At 39.8% G+C, this 21,650-nt stretch overlaps 2 protein-coding genes across 2 annotated transcripts in view; one reads left to right on the top strand and one right to left on the bottom strand.

Moving 5' to 3' along the window:
- Positions 1–21,650, top strand: part of MOB3B (MOB kinase activator 3B) — a 204,606-nt gene that overhangs the window by 3,290 nt on the left and 179,666 nt on the right. The window lies entirely within an intron of this gene.
- On the bottom strand, positions 27–2,235 carry IFNK (interferon kappa). The gene is made up of 2 exons (NM_020124.3): positions 1,564–2,235; positions 27–518 (listed from the first exon to the last, which is right to left on the bottom strand). The coding sequence occupies exon 1, from the start codon at positions 2,186–2,188 to the stop codon at positions 1,565–1,567; it is 624 nt and encodes a 207-aa protein (NP_064509.2). The 5' UTR covers positions 2,189–2,235; the 3' UTR covers positions 27–518; position 1,564.

The following is a 21,650-nucleotide window of genomic DNA, read 5'->3' as shown; positions in this document are numbered from 1 at the left end:
AAGTAATTGACCTCATTCCAGTAAAGTTATTAGAGAGAACAGGCAAAGACTTTATTAGAGAAAGTCATGAAAAATAGCAAGTATATATTTTATGCTCAGTAGCTTGCATGTCCTAACTCCTTTACAAGCTTGTAGTACTATTTTTAATCTGGAACAACTCTGCTGATAGTTATTTTTACTAAATGGTTTGCACTAACTCATTTTATTGTCTGATCCTTCTGCTGATAGCCTGCATATACCATGATCCACAATTTGTTCTTGTTCTTTTAAACATCTCTTCTAACTTCTTGGCTGAAATTTGCCTCACTTTTATCATAAGACTTTCTTTGGCTATAACATTTGGGCCCTGCGCTTGGAATAATCTTGAATCTGAACAGTTTGGCAGCATGCTGTTAGTGGCATGAGCAGGAAATGGCTTCCAAGGGCAGAACCAGGTACATTTCAGATATATTTCACCCTTTTTTGGTGCATTTGCGTAGCCACAATCTCTGTTAATTCTTGCTTGAAGGTAGATGATTCTGAAATGGGGTAGATAGAGGTGCGAGAGGAAGAGAAAATCCATGTCAGCTAGGTGGTGAATTAATATAGATGAAGGGCCGTGCTAGAAAAGTAAATAATCTAGGTAGTCTGGCTGCAAAGTAACTTTTAAAAAGATAAAAGATATTAAAGTATTATGTATTATTGGAATAGCTAGTTAAATTAACTCACAGAATGTAGTCTTCTAACTAGGAAAATCTAATGTAAAATTGTTCCATATTATGACTCTGGACATTTTATTTCAGGCACATGAAAAACAGTAAAAGACAGATTCTGTACCATACTTTTCCACAGCATTTTCCATGCCTTTAGATGTAGGAATCAAACAATATACATCAGGAATGAAGAGTGTGCTACATTAGAATCACAGACTCTCAAAGGTTAAATGAAAGCTTAATGGTCGTCTAATTCAACCATCCATCCAATTTCACTATGGATCTTCACTCTTAAAGTAATGAAATACTATTCCACAAGCATCAATTCAAACAAACCAAGCTGAGAAGGAAATGGGCCAGAAATGTCAACCTTTTTCCCCCCGAGCAGGAGGGGGAAAATGCAAGAGTATTGACTCTAGGGAGCATGTATAAGCTCTTTTAATGTGCTGAATTTTCATAGGATAAGCAACCTTGGCAGCAAAACAGTTAAGTCATTGAAATGTTACCATTTTGCAACATTCTCTGCTCCCTATCCTCTAGCCATTGTCTTGGTGAAGTCCACAGGTGGTATATATAGCAAAGCTCTTTCAAAATGGCCACAGAAAAGAGCAAGAGAGAATAGAAGAAGACGGAGAGGGAATCTTATTCCTTTAAAAATGTCTTAAAGACTTTCTAAGGAGACTCTTGGTCACCCTGAGGATGGTTGGCATTACCTCTCCTTAGAGAGGTGAGTGTCCCTGATGTTCCGAGGCTACCAGTCCAACTGAGGACAGGCTTACAGGACAGCACAACAATCCTTAAAAAGAAGTTGGAGGAGGAGAAGGAGAAAGAGATTTCGGAGGGAAAAGGAATTTTAATTCCAAAAATATACCTTATTTCCTCCTGAATAGAGCTGTAAATTTGTAAAAGTAATACAAACATCTTCTGATTTCCACTCGGACAATCTCCCAGGCACAGTCACTGTATTTCTTTTCTTTCAGGAAATTGTCTATCCTGTGGAAATATCTCCTCAGTTCCAGGCTGCTCAGCTGGGGGACCCTGGCTTCTGAGGGTTTCATCTCATTCTCTTTCATTTCTTTCATGTCTTCATTTTCATTCTTGTCTTCCTCCAAGCATTGGTTCAGGTACTCTGCTTGCTGATCAAGTCCTATTTGGATTTGTTTGAGGTGTCTCTCTTTCCAATATTTGAAGGTGTGTTGGCTGAAGATGTTGAAGGCCTGTAGGGACATTTCATAGAAGGCCTTCTTGATGTCCCTCTTCATAGGTTGGGTGTATTGCAGAAACTCTTGGGGCAACTCAAAAGCTATGTTTTCTCGTAGACATTCTACAGGAAATGAATTGCTCATACTACTCAGATGTCTCAGATTTTGCCAGGTGACTCTTCTCAGGTGAACGTTCAGTAAGTTACAGTCCAGGGATAGGGTGCCAGCAATGAATATACCCATAAGGATCTCAAGCCACAAACACTTTTGAATCATATCAGGTTTGGTGCTCATTTTTTTTGCAAGCTAAAAAATCCAGAAGATGTGTATATGACAATGATGTTTTGAGTTTTCCTTCATGTGCCTTTATATACCTGAATATCTTCAGCAGGAGGAGTTTTCTCATTCGTCATTTCACAGTTAACCAAGGTTGCGGCCCCTTTCCTTTGCCTCTGAGGCTTTTTTTTTTTTTTTTTTTTTACTTCGGGTGACTATGCCGACTTTGGAAGTGATAACTTTTTTTTTTCCCTGAAAAATGAGCAAAGAATTACCATCGTGTTACCTTAAATGCCTGGATGATCCATCCCAGCACTAAGGAATCATCATAACAAGACTGATGCAGGGTATTTCAGAAAGCCAAAAGCTGTGAGTCCATGCACTCACTCACTCACTCACTCACCCAAATCTATTACATAAGAGGGAGTGATCCTTCATGAAAATATATTTTTTGTACCTGGTGCTATAGCCAAACATCCTGTCTCATTGAGTTAATCATAGACATTGACCAAATGACTGTGATTATTTGATTGCTAGGTCACCAGAGCACAGTATAGTTTAGGTTTTTCCAATTTTGTTAAATTAAGCTTCTATATTTGGATATTTTCTCTTTTTGATTTTTCTGGATCTCCAAAAAGATGAAGAATAGAGCTGGCACTTACTAAGTAGGAGACTAAGTTGGCTTGGTTTTCTGTTGCATTAGAAAATGTTGATAATCTCTAAATATCCTTTTCTTCAGTTAAATCCATCCTGGACTTAGCCTTCCATATGCCTCTGATACCTTTCTTAAAAGTCCTGGAGGGGGTTTTATATTTGAGAATATCTTTCTGCCTCATTAACTTCTCTCTTGTAGTATCATTTTCTTTTCTTTTCTTTTCTTTTTTTTTTTTGGTGCAGTTTAGGCAGTATTTTTAAACTTTTGCTTGATTGCTTGATTATTATATCTTCTTGCCTGGTGGTTCTGGATTCTGTAAAGGCTTTTGTTTGCTCCTGTGTTTGTTGTGCACTGAGGAGGTATGTGAGTAGGAAGTCACCCATTTAGCTAAGTGAATTCCTAGCTGGACCAATGTTACTGTGGTAATGATGGCTATCTATTGTTTATGGTTTTTACTTTGTTTGACCAAATAACCTTCCTCTGATTATGGTTAAAGCAAATGGATTCTTTTCTCCAGGAAAATAAAATGGATTGTCATTTTAAAAAGGTAGCTTATTATATCTTCTCAAGAAAAAAAAGATATACATTAATTTGCAATTAAGTCATTGTAAAATGGTAAATAGCCACAGTTCCACAAACATGGCAGACTTTGATTGAAAAGTTGGCTTAAAAAGTTCTTGTCTAAATCAGTTGACTGCACCAAAGGCTAATTGTGGGTAAGTGGGATTTCTTAAAATCCTGGCTTTTAGGAAAGGTTTCTTACGGAAAAAAATATATATATATATATTATTCTATTTGTTCCATCTACATAAATTCTTATTTCATGGGCAGATTTCTTGGGCTGACCAAATTTGGAAAACATTAAGAAAACAAGCCCTTTTATATAGCGTTATAAATTGACACAACCTTCCTAGAGAGGAAAGTGGTGATATGGATCAAAAGCCTTAAAAATGTACATAATATTTGACTCAGCGATTGATCCTCTAGGAACTGATTCCCCAGAAATAATGATGATGCCCTTAAAGACTTAGCTGTAAGGAAGTTTGTCACAGCAAAAAATGGAAAACAATTTTAATGTTCAGCAATAAATACTTAGTTAAGTAAGCCATCAGTAGAAAACATATATGTAAGCACTAAAAATTATGTGTGGGAATATATTTGGTCACTTGGATAGATACACTTTGTAGTTTAAAAAACAAGCTTATATTTGCATATAGAGGCTGATACCACTTTTGTTAAATATAGACATATGCATATATATATATATATATATATATATGAAAAAATGTCTTGATATATATGCAAAAATTTTGAGTCACTATCTCTAACTGGAAGAATAATGGGTGGTTTTTATTTTTATATTTTTATTTACCTGGATTTTTTAAGTTTTCTGTGGTGAGCAAGTATTTCTTTTTCTTTCTTTCTTTCTTTTCTTTTTTTTTTTTTTTTTTTTTTTTGTGAGACGGGGTCTTGCTCTGTCTCCAGGCTGGAGTGCAGTGGCGCGATCTCGGCTCACTGCAACCTCCGCCTCCCGGGTTCAAGCGATTCTCCTGCCTCAGCCTCACAAGTAGCTGGGATTACAGGCACGCGTCACCATGTCTCGTTAATTTTTTTGTATTTTAGTAGAGACAGGGTTTCACCATGTTGGCGACGACGGTCTCGATCTCCTGACCTCATGATCCGACCGCCTCGGCCTCCCAAAGTGCTGGGATTACAGGCGTGAGCCACTGTACCTGGCCAAGTATTTCTTATTTAATAAGAGAAGGCTGTTTTTAAAAGAAGATACATTAAAAAAGGAAAAATTATTATACATCTGAAATGGGATCAATACTATTTTATTTGTTTAAACATTTCTACTCTAGAGTATTTTGAAAGAAAATGTGGATTCTCCCTAAGGCTCAGTTCCAATCAGTTGATATGAATAACACACAGTATGTGGGAATATACTATTCTTGCAGCCATGTTTATACATGTATATATACTTATAATTACACACACACACACACACACATTCTATAAAGTGCAAAGCCTCTCTGAGGGCCATGGCTTTTTACATACCTCATATAACTTCTCTACCTAAAACTTCTTGAACTGTTCCAATTAGAACTGCTTGTTCCCCATTTTGCTTTTACGATGCCTTGGCCTCCTTAACCATGGGTTTTAAAAAACAGATAATTGTATAAGTGTTGGTCTCCCAATTTAGTGCATTCCCCTCTTCCCTGAAATTGCCCGTGGTGCTTAGTATACTTTTCACTAGTTTGAGACAGTTCAATGATACTAACCAAGCTAAAAGATTGTTCAGTTCTGCTCATAGGTGTTGGAGATGGCTGCACATTTGGCTATTGTCATTCGTCTTGAAGTTGCCTGTATTTTCAGCCATGCACAGTTTTGTCATCTTTAGCCCTCTCACCCCAAATTTCCTCCCTTTACTATAATTCCATATTATATTCTCATTTATCTAAAAATGTACTTTTGTGTTTATGACATTTCCGTCACTGGCCTAGGTCCTGAAGAAGGAGGAATAAGTTGTAGTGCATGATCTCGAGGAGGCTGTGGTTGAAGAAGCAGGCATGTTCTGAGTGTTTTAGGCAGGAGGAGTAATTCTTAGGGTTCCCCAAGAGCAAGGACTCCATTCCCCATGTTCTGTAAACGTTAATAGATGCTGATATTGACAATATTCATGACAAAGAAGGAAAGATGGTTGGCATACACATCTGTCCTTCTCCCACCATTAGGATTGCCTGTCTTAGCAGATAAAAATATAGAACACTCATGCAATATTTGGGACATACCTACTAAAAAGTCATTCATTGTTTTTCTGAAATTCAGATTTAACTGGGTGTCTTTATTTTATCTGACAACCCTATCCACCATGCAAGCTCCCACTGACCTCTCACAGCAGAGCTCAGACGTGACATCCCCTGCAGAGAGCCATTCCTCTGCTACTCTTCCTCCTCCTGCAGAGTTACATTTGATTGCATTTCTCTATGCTGGCTTTACATGTGCACATACCCGTAACAAGTGTACATGGCAAAGAGGTCACCTGTCATACTAAAACAAAATAATACTGACACACACAAACATACACACACTTGTACACTCACATATAATCACTCTGATTAGAAGCATTATTGAATGATCAGTCACTGGTCATACCTCTGTTCTGTAAAGCCAGAGGTATTGAATGTATCTCAAAAATATAATCAGAAAATTGAAAACAATGACAGTGTAAGGAAACATTTTGACTCCTAAATTCGTCTGGCATAACTGCTGAGTTTGTCATCAGTAGGCTATGCACTGACATGCTAACATGGTTTCCATGATATCTGTTCTTATTTCCCTGGCATGGCTTGAGATCGTTTATACATGTTCAGGCTTTCCTCAGAGGGAGGGCTGGTTAGCAGGGGCTGCTCTGTTGTTTATGGAATTGTGTGGTGTCTATGTGGATTATGAGATTAACTGTAATGGACAAGGCAGAATTTGGCAAAATGGAGATGAGACATTTCAGTCTAGACGATATAGCTGTGATTCAGCTGAGGGGCATTTGGCATCTACTGATAAGATTTATTGCTCTCCATGAAAAGACAAGTTTCGAATCAGGACGAGAGTAACACATTGATCATCCATATTACTCAATTCTTGAAAGTACATTGTTCCATTTGTAGGGTCATTAGGCGATTGAGCCCAGTAGAGAGCCCAGGAAAAGGAAGCCTTGTGTCCAGGCCTAGCGGTACTTCCCATGGGGCATGCAGAGGATGGTCATCACAAGGTTGTGTGCAGCTATTTTATCCTCAGACAAACGCAGTCACCTCTGGCAACTAGATGTTTCACTCATTCTCACTGCCTCAGCATTGGGGTCAGCCTCATTTGGGGCCAGCTTGTCTTCTGGTCCCTTTCTTGGCTCTTCTCTTAATGATGACCCTGATAGAGAAACTGATAATGACTATTCAGGGAATACTGTGGATATGTGCATATGGTAAAAATTCAAACACTTCAGGGCAAGCGAAAGCTTTGCTTAACAGCTCAGCCTCATGTCATGCTCCTCTCCTCCCCTGCGGCAACTACAGTTATCAGTTTGGTATGTGTCCTGTTTGATACCTTTCTCTCTACTAAGCAATAAGTTCTGTGAGGGAAGGTATAACAACTGGCTTGTTTGCTTTCTCTTAAATGCTCATAGGGAATAGGAGAGACCTGGATCATATCCATGGGTGGCAGTAGGAGGACTTGGGTGTATATTTTTAAAATTGGCAATACAGGATTATAAAAATTGTGATATGCTTTGAGGTTGAATCCTAGAAGTTTATCTGTGTGACTGTATATAGGATATCATTTGGAGATGATATTAAAAATCTATATTATCAGCCCTTTATGGATATGAGGTCCAGGATAAATGGCTCACCAGACCTCGCCTGTGAGAGAGCCAGGCTATCACAGCACCTGGCCCATAGTAGGTGCTCAATAATTATTTGTTGGGTGACTGAATGATGATAATGAAGCCATGTCTTAATGACAGTAAAGTTATTTGGTGGTTTGGTTCTTTTTGTGTAGGGATATGGAGAGGACAAAGTCAGATGTCGGGGAAAATTAAGGGAATTAACAGAGTGGTAGATGGCAACTTAGGTGTCCATTTAATGTCCTATACTACTTCTGGTGCATTCTCCTTGGGATTCCCCGAGGCTGGTCAGATCATGAGCACTTTCGTACCTCTACTCTAGTGATGTCACACAGTTTTGTATTTCTTGGTTGATTCATATGTCTTCCCCTCCAGAAGAAAAATGTGTCTTTCTTAGTTTTGTATCTGTGGCACTTCTTACACAGTAAATGTTAGTTTAATCAAAAACTGCCGTGTGACTTCTTATAGTTCTCAAATCTGATTCAGTAATAACCTGTATAGGCAAAACTGCTGAGAAGTTCTAAGACCATTCCTCTCCACCACCCCCTTTTGCTGCTTTTTTGTACATGATGCTCCCTGTAGCTGTCATTTAATTTTATCAACCTTAGAGGGGCTCTTTGGACAAACTAATATCCAGTTGTCTTTTCCAGCCCAACTGAAGATTATGCACGTAGTAACTTCCCACCCAGAAATAATTTGAGCTGTTGGAAAAGAATCCCTGATAAAAAGAAATGTAGCATGATGGAATAAGTATCTCAGTAAATAAACGTGTACCATCAGTAAAACCTACTCTCTGTTTTAGGATGACCAGAACAGCCTCCATCCATATCCTCATTTCAGTGTTGATTTCCCTGGGTCCTTTTGAGCCCGAATGGGGCTTTTACTTCTGAGGATGTTAGTAAGAATTTCAGATGGCAGGCATGAAAAATGGATGTCACCTACCAGAATAATCCTTCTCTTTACTCAGTGAATAGATGTGGATTTTTTTCCTAGATCACATCCAAGAGTGGCTGTAATTGGGAAGAAATGATGAGCGTGCAGTGGGTGATGGACAGAAATGTCCTCTTGTCTTGGGTAAACATTTTAAAAGGAGTTGGCGTTGTGGAGATGAAGACAGTGTCTTCTTTTAATTACCATCAGCTTGCATGTGGTCATAAGGTTTCTTGACATTTCTGAAGAACAAAGAAAGGTATTATGATAGAAAAATTTAAGTTGGCCTTACTTAGCCTGGCAGAGGATTCACATGCTGCAAATTTAAGGATTTCTTAAGTGTCTGAACAATGCCTGAGGTTGGGGGTGGTATCTAGGAATAATCTTCTAGAGCAAGGGGGTGGACTAAGTGGGGAGGGGTCTCTTTTCTTCCTGCCAACATCCCTCCCCGCAGGTAGCCTGAGAAGAAGCTTGGAATGGGTTTCCTGAGAGATGCTAGACTTTTTCCCATGTCTGAAATTAAGTTATTTATATACTCACTTACTTGTTTGTTTTCTTTGTTTTCCATTTTATCCCCGGTGTTTAGCACACAGCGTACACTCAATAAATATTTATTGAATGAACAGATATGCATTTCAGTATTTTATCTTATGAGTATATTTTAATCTAAATTGAATATCAGATCAGTTCAGTAATTCTACCTCTTTTTTTTTTTTTTTTTTTTTTTTTGAGACAGAGTCTCGCTCTGTCGGCCAGGCTGGAGTGCAGTGGCATGATCTCTGCTCACTGCAACCTCCGTCTCCCGGGCTCAAGCAATTCTCCTGCCTCAGCCTCCTGAGTAGCTGGGATTACAGGCATGTGCCACTACGCCCGGCTAATTTTTGTATTTTTAGTAGAGACTGGGTTTCACCATGTTGGCCAGGCTGGTCTCAAACTCCTGATCTCAGGTAATCTACCTCGGCCTCCCAAAGTGCTGGAATTACAGGTGTGAGCCACCACACCCAGCCAATTCTACCTCTTGATAGAATTGTATAACTGTGTAAATATAGAATGTGGACAATAAATGATAGTTATCATCATCATCTGTTGCCTACAGTGTTAGACACAATGCCAAATTCCAAGAATACAAGGGAAAACAAGACAAATACAGTCCCTTGCAGAGGTTCCTGGAGGCAGTGATACCCAGTCTTAATCTTAAAAGGCAAGAGTTGATGAGAGTTTGAATTAGGAGAGTGATAGCAGGTATCAAGAAGAAGACAATTACTTAGAAGTTAAGGTTGGCAACTTTTGGAAATTGATTTGGAATGGGAGGCGGGGGTGAGAAGGAGGAAATAGACTAGGGAGAAACTCAGTTTTCTAGCTAGGTATATGATCGTGCCACCAGCTGAGAGATAGCCTGTGGGAGGAGGAGCAGGCTTAGGGGAGCAACTGGTGAGTTCTGTTATAGACAAGTTGCTTTGAATTGTCTGAGATAGCTAAGTGGAGATGTCTATCCAGCAGTTGGATATATGGGCCTAGACAAGAGCAGAAGACTGATGCTGCCAGGAGAGATAGATTGGAAGGTATCCACAGAAGCTGTAAGTGGTAAGACTATAAGAATCAGTGGGTCTGTCCAAAGAGAATATATGGGGAATGGAATGAAGTGGGTCTGTGTCAGAACCCTAAGAATATGCTATGTTACAGTGGGCAGCAGAAGAGGAAACTGGAGAGGATGGTCACAGGCATAAGGATAATTAGTTTTTTCTGTTTTTTTCGTTTTGTTTGTTTGTTTGTTTTGTCTCTGCATCTTTGCCCAGATGACTCCACAGAATTTTGAACATAACACTGTAATCCAGCTATTCTCAGTTAAGCTCTATTTGCCATTGTTGATCTAGGCCTAATGCCCTCCTGTTGATGTGATTCTTTTAAGCTCAGAAAGAAGAATTAATTCATTGAAGAGTATGGTCAAACTCTTTGGGCTATTTTAGTATATGCCTCCCATGAAATACATCTTACTGCCAGGCATGTATGTGTGGAGTTCTTGGCAGTCATCACTTGGACTGCAAGTTTGCCTGGTTTCTTTACTTCTGCCACTTGGGGCTGTAGGAGTTTTGGGATGTATTCATTTCCTAGGGTTGCCATAACAAATCACCATAACTTAGGTGGCTTAGAACAATGGAAATTTATTCTCTCATAGTCCTAGAGTCTGGAAGTCCAAAATCAGAGTGCCATCATGATAATGCTTCTGCCAAAGCCTCTAAACAAGAATCCTTCCTTGCCTCTTTTAGCTTCTGGTACTTGCTGGTAGTACTTAGTGTTCTTTGGTTTCTAGATGCATCATCTCTGCCTCCATAGTTACATGACATTTTTCATGCATCTGTGTGTCCCTTCACGTGGCCCTTCAATGGCCTTCTTATCAGCACACTACTTGTTACACTTAGTACCTACCCTAATCCAGTATGACATCTTCTTAATTTGATTACATTTGCAAAGTCTTTTGTTTCCAAATAAGGCCACATTATAGGTATTGGGGATTAGAACTTCAGTATATTTTTGGGGGAGACACAGTTCAATCCACGACAGGGGATATGGTACAGGGAGCCTTAATGGGGAGAGGATCTTGCAACAAATCTAGCATGTTGGAAAGAATGGCTTGGAGACATTGAGCTAGTATGGAAGTGTTTAACTGTAGGTCTTTGTTAGAGAGAAATGTGGTATATGAGTAGATAGTGTTAGTGCTCATAAGCCTGTCAACATGATAAGCCAGACATTGTCTTTAAGTATTCTTTGGTAACAATCTGTATAGCTATTAATAATAATAAAGAATAAGTTTAATTTAACAATTATTAAGTGCCAATGCTCTAGATACATTCTCTTTAATTCTCACAGTTACTATGCAATGTACATGATACTAGCCTCAGTTTAAAGAGGAGGAAATGGAAACTGGGAACTATTGAGCGACTTAACCAACGTCACAGAGCTAGAAATCCACAGAATCAGGATTCCAGCCCAGGTCTGTCTGAGGCCACATTGTCTTTTTACAGGACTAGTGTCGTAAAGGGTTTGGGTTAAAATCCACTGTGTGTATTTATGCATTAATAGCCATTTTCATTCTCAAAATAATTTGAAACCATTTATAGAAATATATATGATACAAGAGAACAAAGATTAGTTAACGAAATCAGAATTGAGGGAAAACAACAGTAAAAAAGCAAGATGAAGTCGGGGCACAGTTCAAATGTTAAGAATGCATGCCATAATGTCCAATGTCGATAGTGTAGAGGGTTGCAAATCTCAGGGCTTCCTACAAGCAAAGAGATAATATAATCTGTTAAAGTATTTATAGCATCCAAAAGGCCAAATGAAGCAACAACAAAACTAAGTCTTCAGGAGAAGGAAAGCTTCTCTTGGTACTGAGTTCTGGGAGGAATTTCTCCTGTGGGCCTTCAAGGAGGGAGCACCGTGAGATGTCCTGAGCGAAGACCCTAGTAACTTCTTTACAGGAGTTACCACTAGCACATGCATGGAAGGGCTAATTCTTACAACTTCCCTCTGTGTAGGCTGCTGTCTCCTTGCCAACAGGCATGCAGTTCCTTGGCAGACATGCTGCAGAGGTTGTTGGTTTTTCTCATGTTGAGCTACAGAAAAGAGTTCAGCTGCTCTGCTGGCTTGGGATAGCATTTCTTCATCATGGCCCAAAATGGGGAAAAGCATGGTCACACATGTTGGCATTCTCAGGGGTGTTCAATGTGGAAAGACTGCCCTGACATTTAAAGAGCCCTTGCCTAGATCTGATCCTGCATTTCCTATTATATATACAGAGGAACTTCTGGGAAAATAATCTGTAGACACAACTCTCTTTAATTCAGTCAGAACTGGGAAAACAAAACTATTCTGTCAGATTGACCCAGTGTCATAAACAAAAATGAAGTGCATGCTGGATTTCCACATTGTCAGAGGTTTGATTTGCTCTATCTCCTCTAGAGGAATAGTTCCAGATATAGGAATCTAAGGAAGCAACTTGTGGTCTTTTTTTTTTTTTTTTTTTTTTTGAGCTTGTGGTCTTATTCTGCGTTGAGTTGACTTTATTTTCTCTGAAAGAGCTTCTTCATAAATTGGATGTCTTAAAATTAAAAACCAGGATAGCCTTATGCCTCCAAATATTATAGCTAATTAAATACTGGGCTATCCTCTTGGAATTATCAATTTTGCATAATTGAGTATTTTTCCTTTAAGAGTAGAACTCACCATGTGGAAAGAGCCATATGAATGGTCCCAGAGTTAAAGCTTCTTTATATTCCCAGGAGAGATGTACTTCAGGAGAAACTGGGATTGCCCTATATACATCCCTGCCAGAATCACTCATTGCTAAATGTGATAATACGGTTTCTCATGGATGGTTCCAGTTGTTGGGTCAAATAATTCAGAAAGTATCTACTGCATGTTTATTCCATCCATCCACCCACCCACCATCCATCCATCCATCCATCCATCCATCCATCCATCCATCCATCTGTTTATCCATCCTTTCATCTCCAAGGAGATGATGCCTGACACAGGTAGTAAAAAAGAATAGGGAAACTTCATGTCCTCATAGTGTGTCCCAGTCTTCAAACAATAACAAAATTACCAGGCTTTATAAGTGCTATGAAGGAAATAAACAGGGCAAGAAGGTAACTCGGGGAGGTGATGGATGAGCTAAGACCTGAAGGGTGAAGAGCAGTCAACTGTGTACAAAGCTGGAAGGGAGCATTTTGGACAGAGGGAACAGCAAGTTCACAGGCCCTGATGGGAAGAGCTCGGGATATTTAAGGGATACAAAGGAGATTAGTTGGGCTGGAGTGAAGGGAATGGAGAGGTTGGTACTAGGATAGGTTGGGACTGGCAGGGCACAGCAAGCCATGATAGAGTTCCAGTTTTATTCTAAGACCAGTTAAAACGTATGAAAGAGTTTCAAACAAGAGAGTGGTATGATATGATGTGTGCTTGAAGGAGATCCCTTTGGGGGCCTTGTAGGGGTACAGTTTGGAGAAGGGGCTAGAGTAGAAGCAAGGAGGCCAGGTTGAGGGCAGATATTTCAGTAGGCCTGGGGAGAGTCATGGTGACCTAGATTAAGGTGGGAGCAGTAGAGATGGAAAAAATAAGACTGGTATGAAGTAGGTTGTTAGTACGTTACTTAGGGTATATTTGGGTTCAGGTTAATATCTGTGATCACCAAAGGCAGTTTTCCAGAAGTACCATTGATAATGTATTTGATTATGAGATCTTTACTGAATTAACATGATAGTTTTTTGGTAATCAGTAAATAATCTCATTTAGCATTTGATCTTTCACTGGATGGCCTTAAACTAGGTTAGCTCCCTTATACTTTAGCCAATGATATAAATAATTTACTTAATTGGTCTTAGGTTGAGGTTGAGGCTTGAATTTCCCAGGTTTGGCCTGAGGCTTAAATTTCTTAGAGTATACCCTGATGTACTTTCCTGTGTGTACATAGAACAAATGCATATTCCTATACATTATGATATTTAGATAAAATAATGTTTTTCATGATTGATTTAAACCATGGATAACTACAGTCAAATCATAATGGAATATAATCATATAATTGTGAAGTGAAAAAAAGTGATCCTAATCTATTATTTACTAAATGTAGATGAGAGCCTAGAGCTGACAATGCCAATTCTAATTTGATTTAAAAACAAAAACTCAGAAATGTCTATCTGCACCAATTCTCCGACACAAACTATACACCCATGAAACAGTAGTGTTTAACAGGGTGAATCAAGATGTCCCTGCTACTGGAGTCAAGCAATGCTAGCCTTTCTTGTGTCACAGAAAAACTAAATAAATGAAATGAATTTTCTATACTTTAAGGTTGAAACATAGAAAATTCAACCTTCAGCAATATTTTTATTAAACTTTTGGCATCTCTGATGGTTTACTTAGAGTAGAACCTAGTTTATAATGATACCTTAGTTTTAGATTATTTAGTTATTTTATGAGTTAGTGCCTGAGTCTCGGACTTGGCACACAGTAATTCGATTTATTATTTTTATAAATAATCTCATAATGTTCTGCAAAAATCTCAGGACTTCCAGATGCTTCAGACACCAGCTACTGTAAAAAACATCCAAAATTATAGGATGGCCTAAACATGATAGAAGCATTCCTCATGTGTACCCAGCTCAAAACCAGGGTACTTGAGCTGCAGTTGGGTCTCTTATAAGCAGTGGTCAGGGACATAGACCCTTTCCCTCTTGTGGCCCCGCCATCTTCCATGTGGTTTCCTTTATCAGGCTTGCAGGATTTATCTTTGTCAGGCTGGAGCAAAGGGGCAGGAGCATGGAGGAGTGTGCATGGGAAGGTTATATGGTTAGGCTTAGAGGGACACACAACACTGTCAGTCCCATTCCATTGGCTGGAACTTAGTCACATGGCCACAGCTAAGTGCGAGGGATGCCAGGAAATGTAGTCAGGTGCCCAGGAAGGAGAGGGAATAGTTTGGTGAACAGTTAGCCCATCTCTGATCTATTTAGAAAAACAATCTAGCAATCAAAATGCATTGAGACTGGTATAAGTTAGATCAGGGGGTTGGGCTGGCATAATGGGGCACATTATAGATGCCCAATAGAGATTAAAAGAAAAAAAATCCTTCTGGAGAGGATTGGAGTTGTCAGCCATAGGCAGCTTTCTAGTGATTTCTTTTCTGAAAGAGTAGAAGTACTGTTGAAATGAAGGATTTAAATTCTTTTCAAGGCTACATAAATAAGAAGCTAAATGATTAATTTGCTATTTTTTTTAAAAAAAACATACTTTCCTTGGAAGAAATCTATTTGGTAGGATGGTACCGTCATTTGCTTTCTTTAAAAAGCAGAGCCCATGGAGCTTCTTTCTCACAGGAGCCAACATCCGCAGCTGATGCTGAACTGGGCATGAAGCATGCATTGAGCACAGTGTTACCGGTGAATACATTATTTCACTTTATCACTGACGGAATGCTGCAGGATGGACAATTTTATCCCCATTTTATGGCTGAAGAACCAAGGCTGCAAAAAGTACATAACCTGGCAAAGTTCACACCGAACTAAAGGCTGCCTGATTTTCTATTAAACTGTTATTTAAGTATAAAATAAAGGGTTCTGAGTGTCTCATGTTTTTCTTTCTTTCTTTTTTTTTTTGTCAAAGATGAAAATGTTTTACCTAATAGCATCACTACCTTAACCTCTCAAAAATAGCTTTTTTGAGAAAGACTTTTAAAGATTCCTGGCTTCTGACAAAAATGAGTTAAACACACTTGGGTCCCTTCTTCTGCCTGTGGAGAGTGAGATTCTTTCCCTCTCCATGCGGTCAGTTTAGCTGCTGGAAACTGTTTATGAGTCCCTGCCGCTTGACCTGACTTATGGGACCTGGCAAATATGATCCCAGGGTGTGGCTGGAATTCATTTCTGACTTCTGTGGCAAAAGGAGGAAAAGGCACTAATGCCCCTGTGAGAAGAGGCAAGAGCCAGGGACCTGCCAAGGTCTCTGCAGTAGACTTCAGGGAGTATCTCCTGACCCCCACTGTGTGGAACTTGGTGGATCCTGGTGGAGAGACAGGCTGTGGGTAGCACCAGAGCATCATGTGATTAAAAGAGAGGATGGACTGATTTTCAGTACAGCATCTTGAGATGAAGCAGTATTCAAATCCATTTGCTCAACATTGGCTCCATGAAACACTAATTTGGCTAAAAGCTCCACAAAAGAAAGATTTTGTAGCTAAAGAAATTTAGAACACCATATATATTTAGACTTGCAGCATATGTTAGTATATGAAAAGCCTACAATATCTTGCAGCAAGGCACCTGTTAAACTGGTCTAACCTATAATATAATAAACTTATTTGACTACATACTTTTAAAAAGATCACACTTACTAATATCCTGAGGAATTAATGTTTTGGGGAACATACTTTGTGTATCACTGATCTAAATAGAGCATACAAAGAAGACAATGTTAGAAAAGAAATCCAATATCCAAATTAAGATGGAATACAGGGAGGACTACAGACTGGAAGATTGCACAGTTACTCTTGGTTAGGTAATATAAGCAGCAACAATGATCACATCATAATTTCAGTGTTTTCTCTGATTTTAAACAAAACAGAAATACGAAAAACTCAAATGTTTTATATTGTAAAATGCCTTTTGTCCTCTTTATTTTTGTTGTCTTCCCCCTTTCTCTTTTTCTATTACCACATAAGCTTCTTGATTTTCATCAAATGAGTCACTGAAAGTTGGAACAACTGGAGAAAGATGTGTTCAAATCCATTGAACAGAAAGTTATTAGTTAAGTACATAGTGTTACTCAAATCTGTTACATAAATTTGTTGGAGGCTGGGTGCAGTGGCTCATGCCTATAATCCCAGCACTTTAGGAGAGCGAGGTGGGTGGATCATCTGAGGTCAGGACTTCGAGACCAGCCTGGGCAATATGGTGAAACCCCATCTCTACTAAAAATACAAAAATTAGCCGGACGCGGTGCTGCGCGCCTGTAATCCCAGCTACTCAGGGGCCTGAGGCAGGAGGATCGCTTGAACCCAGGAGGTGGAGGTTGCAGTGAGCCGGGATTGTGCCACTGCACTCCAGCCTGGGTGACAGAGTGAGACTCCTCTCAAAAAACCTCCAAAAAAACAAAAAACAGGCCAGGCATGGTGGCTCACTCCTGTAATCTCAGCACTTTGGGAGGCTGAGGCAGGTGGAGCACTTGAGGTCAGGAGTTCGAGACCAACCTGGACAACATGGTGAAAACTCATCTCTACTGAAAATACAAAAATTAGCCAGGCATGGTGGTGCATGCCTGTAATTCCAGCTACTCGGGAGGCTGAGGTGGGAGGATCGCTTGAACCCAGGAGGCGGAGGTTGAAGTGAGCCGAGATCGCACCTCTGCCCTCAAGCCTGGGCAACAGAGTAAGACTCCGTCTCAAGTAAAAATAAATAAATAAACTAATTAATTAATTTGTTGGGCTGATAATTTCATTTCATGCTTCTTTAAATTTGGGGAACTTGAAGTATTTGGGGAATTTCCTTCCCTCCTTCTCTTCTCTCCCTCCCTCTCTCTCCCTGTCTTCCTTCCTCCCTTCCTTCCTATAGCAAATATGTGTTGATACTAAGGCTTGGCATTGGAACTATGAAAGTTACAGTATCTCTTAATGTATGTGTATATTTATGTATTTTTATGGGATGACATGTGAATAATGAGCATTAAGAAAACTAAAAGCATCTGTATTAGTCACTCAACAATTTTGCTGGCTTTTCTGTAGACTTAGACGGTGGCATGGTACACTGGAGAGTGGCAGATCTGTGGCATGTGGATGATCATTCTTTCCATAATGCCACGGCAGACATCGCCAACTGACGACAGCACTCAGTCTTGCTCTGCCCATACCTTGCTTTCTCCAGTTGTTCCAGACAGATCAACTGGAACTGGAGCTGTTTGCTTTCCCAGGAGTAGTGGAAGGATTAGCATTTTAGGAGACCTTGGTTCTATTCTAATGAAGTGTTTGACCTTGGAAAACAGCCTCAATGGGCCCTATTTTCTTCAATATTTAGACTGGGTGATTTACTGTATTGTTTTAAGCATAACATTAATGTTGTTTCTCTGTCTACAAATCGCTGTCTGGGGACAAACTTAATTTAAAGTCAGCATAGTCTTTTGCCTGCCTGTCTGAGACTCCCTTTGATTTCCCACTTGCATTTATTAGGGGTATCTGACACCTTATCTCACTCGTTTTTTTGTGTGTGAGTTAATATTTTAATATACTTCAATTTATTTTATTTAGTTTTAGAAAAATAGCCTTCAAAATGAAAAAAATTAGTTTTAATTTCTTGCCTTTGGTGATGTAGGCCCCCTGAGTTTATTTTTTCTGGAAGTGCTTCAGCCATGTTCCCAGGGAAACTGCCTCTTCACTCTTCTCCAAATCCTGCCAGGACTTCTTGAATGGTCCCTACACGTGGATTCCTCAGCTTCTGGAGAAGCTTCTGTCTTAATGGATGAAAAAGACTCTGAACAACCCTTGCGTTTTTTTAATGTGATACTTTATAAAACCTTTTCAGTTTAGATCTTGTTATGGTTTATTATTTGTGGAGTATCAGTATTTAGTACAGAGATTTCAAGAAACTCAGTCAAAAGACAGTATGTTTTAGCCCAAAGGCATTATTCTCATATCAGTGGAATACTTTCTTCAGGAACTTGTCCATAGGATTTTGATATCCTGAGTACGTATCACAGAGAAAGTCGTATTTCCCAAGTGAATTCCTTTGGTCCCCCAGAATGCTGCAGAACTCCTGGTTGCAGCAATTTAGCAATTCACTATTGGTACCCTCTTCTATACCTCCTAACCAGTTACCTTGAAATCTTTAAAAACAAAACAGATAAACAAAAACTCATCTGTGTGCTAAATCCATTTCAACAGAAAAATAATAGAATTATTGTAATTACCAGCTTTAATCGCTTGAAGAACTTAAACCTTCTGGATGAATGATTTCTAAGAATCACTTCAGAGATGAAAGGAGATCATCGTTTTTAAACAGTCTGTAGAACATGACTTTATTTGTAAATGGTCATTCTTCAAAAGATATTTTTTGAGCACCTGCTTTGTGCTGGGCATTTTGCTGCATGTTGAGATATAACTGACTCCTAGAGATTCTTTCGACTTAGCCACCCCAGTAGGTCTGAGGGGACTCAGCCTAACAGTCACTCTCTCCTTCTGTAGCTGTTAAAACAAGCATCAAGGGACAAAGTATTGCATTAAATTCCATGTACTGAATGCCATTGTATAGTTGCATCCTGAAATAACCAAGAAATCAACTGAGACCTGGAAATCCCTCATCAGAAAAATGTCCATGCCAGTCCTGGTTGCTGTAAGAAGACTTGTTCTAGACCAGTTGACATTTGGGGAGTGCGCATTGTAAGCACCATGGTAAGGGATGCAAAGTACCGTAAGAGATGTCCAGTGAGGAGAAAGTAGCTACTGTGCACAATATGACAATAACAAGACTGGGCTGACAAGTAAGTGCTCTATGAATTCTGAGATACACGGAGGATCCCACTGGCTGGAAAGAAAACAAGAAGGTAGGAGTGAAGTATGAATAGAAGATACTTGTGCACTTGGATCCCAGCCCTGCCACTTACTAGCTGTATGACCACGGATGAATTTCTCATCATATGGAAGCTTCTGTTTCTATATCAGCAAAAGAGGAATCATAACATTGACTCATAGACACAATGATAAAAATGTAAAATGCTTAGCACAGTGTCTTAAATGTGGCACACAGCAAATGGTATCAGTCACAGTAAAACTCAGTAAATAATTTTGCTTGTTTGTCTATAAAGCAGCAATACTACATCATAAGACTATGGTCAAGATTAAATAAGTTGGGCTGGGCGCAGTGGCTCATCCCTGTAATCCCAGCACTTTGCGAGGCCAAGGCAGGTGGATCATGAGATCAGGAGTTCAAGACCATCCTGGCCAAGATGGTGAAACCCCGTCTCTACTAAAAATACAAAAAAAAAAAAAAAAAAAAATTAGCCGGGGTGTGGTGGCTCACGCCTGTAATCCCAGCACTTTGGGAGGCCGAGGCTGGCGGATCACGAGGTCAGGAGATCGAGACCATCCTGGCTAACACGGTGAAACCCCGTCTCTACTAAAATTACAAAAAATTAGCCGGGCGTGGTGGCGGGTGCCTGTAATCCCAGCTACTTGGGAGGCTGAGGCAGAGAATTGCTTAAATCCAGGAGGCGGAAGTTGCAGTGAGCTGAGATCAAGCCACTGCACTCCAGCCTGGGTGACAGAGTGAGACTCCGTCTCAAAAAAAAAAAAAAGATTAAATAAGTTGACATAATTAAAGGGTCTGGCACAGTGCCTACCATACAGAATATGAACATATACAATAAATATTGGCTATTGTGATGATGAAAAATGGGGGTAGATGAGAGGAGACATTTCAGACACAGGCAAGAGGTACATAGCCTGGTATGGGCTTGGCAAATTACCTGGTTCTCTAGGATGGAAGTTTTGTTCAAGTGAGTAGTAGTTGAAAGATAGATGATGGTTGTAAAATATGTTAAACATGAATTAAAAGCCTCTTAATTGGGGATATTAAATAAAGAGTCTAGGATTCCAGAAGAAAATTTAAATGAGTGATCTCTAAGTTTCCTTCTGTTTGAGATTCTGTGGTTCCTCCAAGACTTCCAGTGGTTCCCAAGAAAAACTTGTGAGTCAACCATCCCACTGCAGTAGCGATCCAGAGCTGCAGCCTGGAACACACCAGCAATAAGGCAATGCTTCTCTGTTTTGATAACAGCACCTCATTTGCTAAATGAAAAAGAGTTTTAGTTTCCATGTGGCAATCTGCCCAGGCATTTGATTTGACAGCTAAGAGAGAGAAAGGTAAAAGCCCATGCGTGTAATTGGTGACACGTTATTTCCTGGTCATTTTTTTCCCCTTAGTTTTGAGAGCCAGAGTCAAAGAGAAGGAAGAGAGAGGGGGAAAAAATGGCTCTACGGGAAATGAGTTTCCAGGCAGAGCTGAGACACCTGAAGAATGTGTCACTTCATATACTTTGCACGTGTGAGTCAATAGGCAGTTTCAGGGTTTGCCAAAGTGCATCCAAGGGCTGGTGCAAGAGAAGAAACCACTCCAGGAGAATTAATATAATTCTGGTAAGACAGCTTCATGCATTAAGCTTTCAAGAGGGCCTGAGAGGTCTGTGGACTTCATGCAGAACTGTTTGCACAGCATTGGCCAGAGTTGGAATATAAGCTAGTACAGCATTCCCAACTTCTTCCTAAATTTATTTTATGTGAAAATACATTTAGAAAACTCAGAGTTAAGCAAGTCAAAGAGATTTCTTTACTGCAGAACATCTCAGGATCTTTGTTATGCTAATATGAATTGTGAGTGTCCAAGAAGGAGAGTGTGAATGCAGTACTTCCCACATTCACGGGAAAGTGGTAGGTTTTAATGTAGAATGTATCTAGGGACTAGAGTCTTAAGCAGCCCTTTGGGAAAAGCTGATTTGGGGCAGGAACACCAGGCCGTCATTCCTTCACTCTTGCCCTTTCCCGGGGAGGTCTAGGTACGGACACAGATGTTTGCAGGCAGCCCTGTCATTCTAGCAGCTGAATGCAGGACATTGTCCAGGAGAACACCAGTCATTTGCAAAAACATGATGCGGTATGGTAGGTAAAATAATAGCTCCCCAAAGATGTCCACATTCTCATCCATAAAGCCTGTGAATATGTTATCTTACATGCCAAAAGAAATTTTGTGTATGCGATTACACTAAAGATATTGAGATGGGTGATTGTTCTGGATTATCAGGGTGGGCCAAGTGTAGCCACAGGGTCCTTATGAGAAGGAGGCAGGCAAGCGAGAGTCTGAGGAGATGCAATGACAGAAGCAGAGGTCAGAGTGATGTGGGGCCACAAGTCAAGGAATGCAGGCAGCCTCCAGAAGCTAGAAAAGGCAAGGAAGTGGATT

The sequence above is a fragment of the Homo sapiens genome, chromosome 9 (genome assembly GCF_000001405.40).
Source record: "Homo sapiens chromosome 9, GRCh38.p14 Primary Assembly".
Taxonomy (NCBI): Eukaryota; Metazoa; Chordata; class Mammalia; order Primates; family Hominidae; genus Homo; species Homo sapiens.
The sequence above is the reverse complement of the archived record's forward strand: the minus strand, read 5'-3'. Positions and strand labels throughout refer to the sequence as shown.

Excerpts from the sequence above, each read along its gene's own strand:
- IFNK (NM_020124.3), bottom strand. The coding sequence starts at position 2,188 with ATGAGCACCAAACCTGATATGATTCAAAAGTGTTTGTGGCTTGAGATC.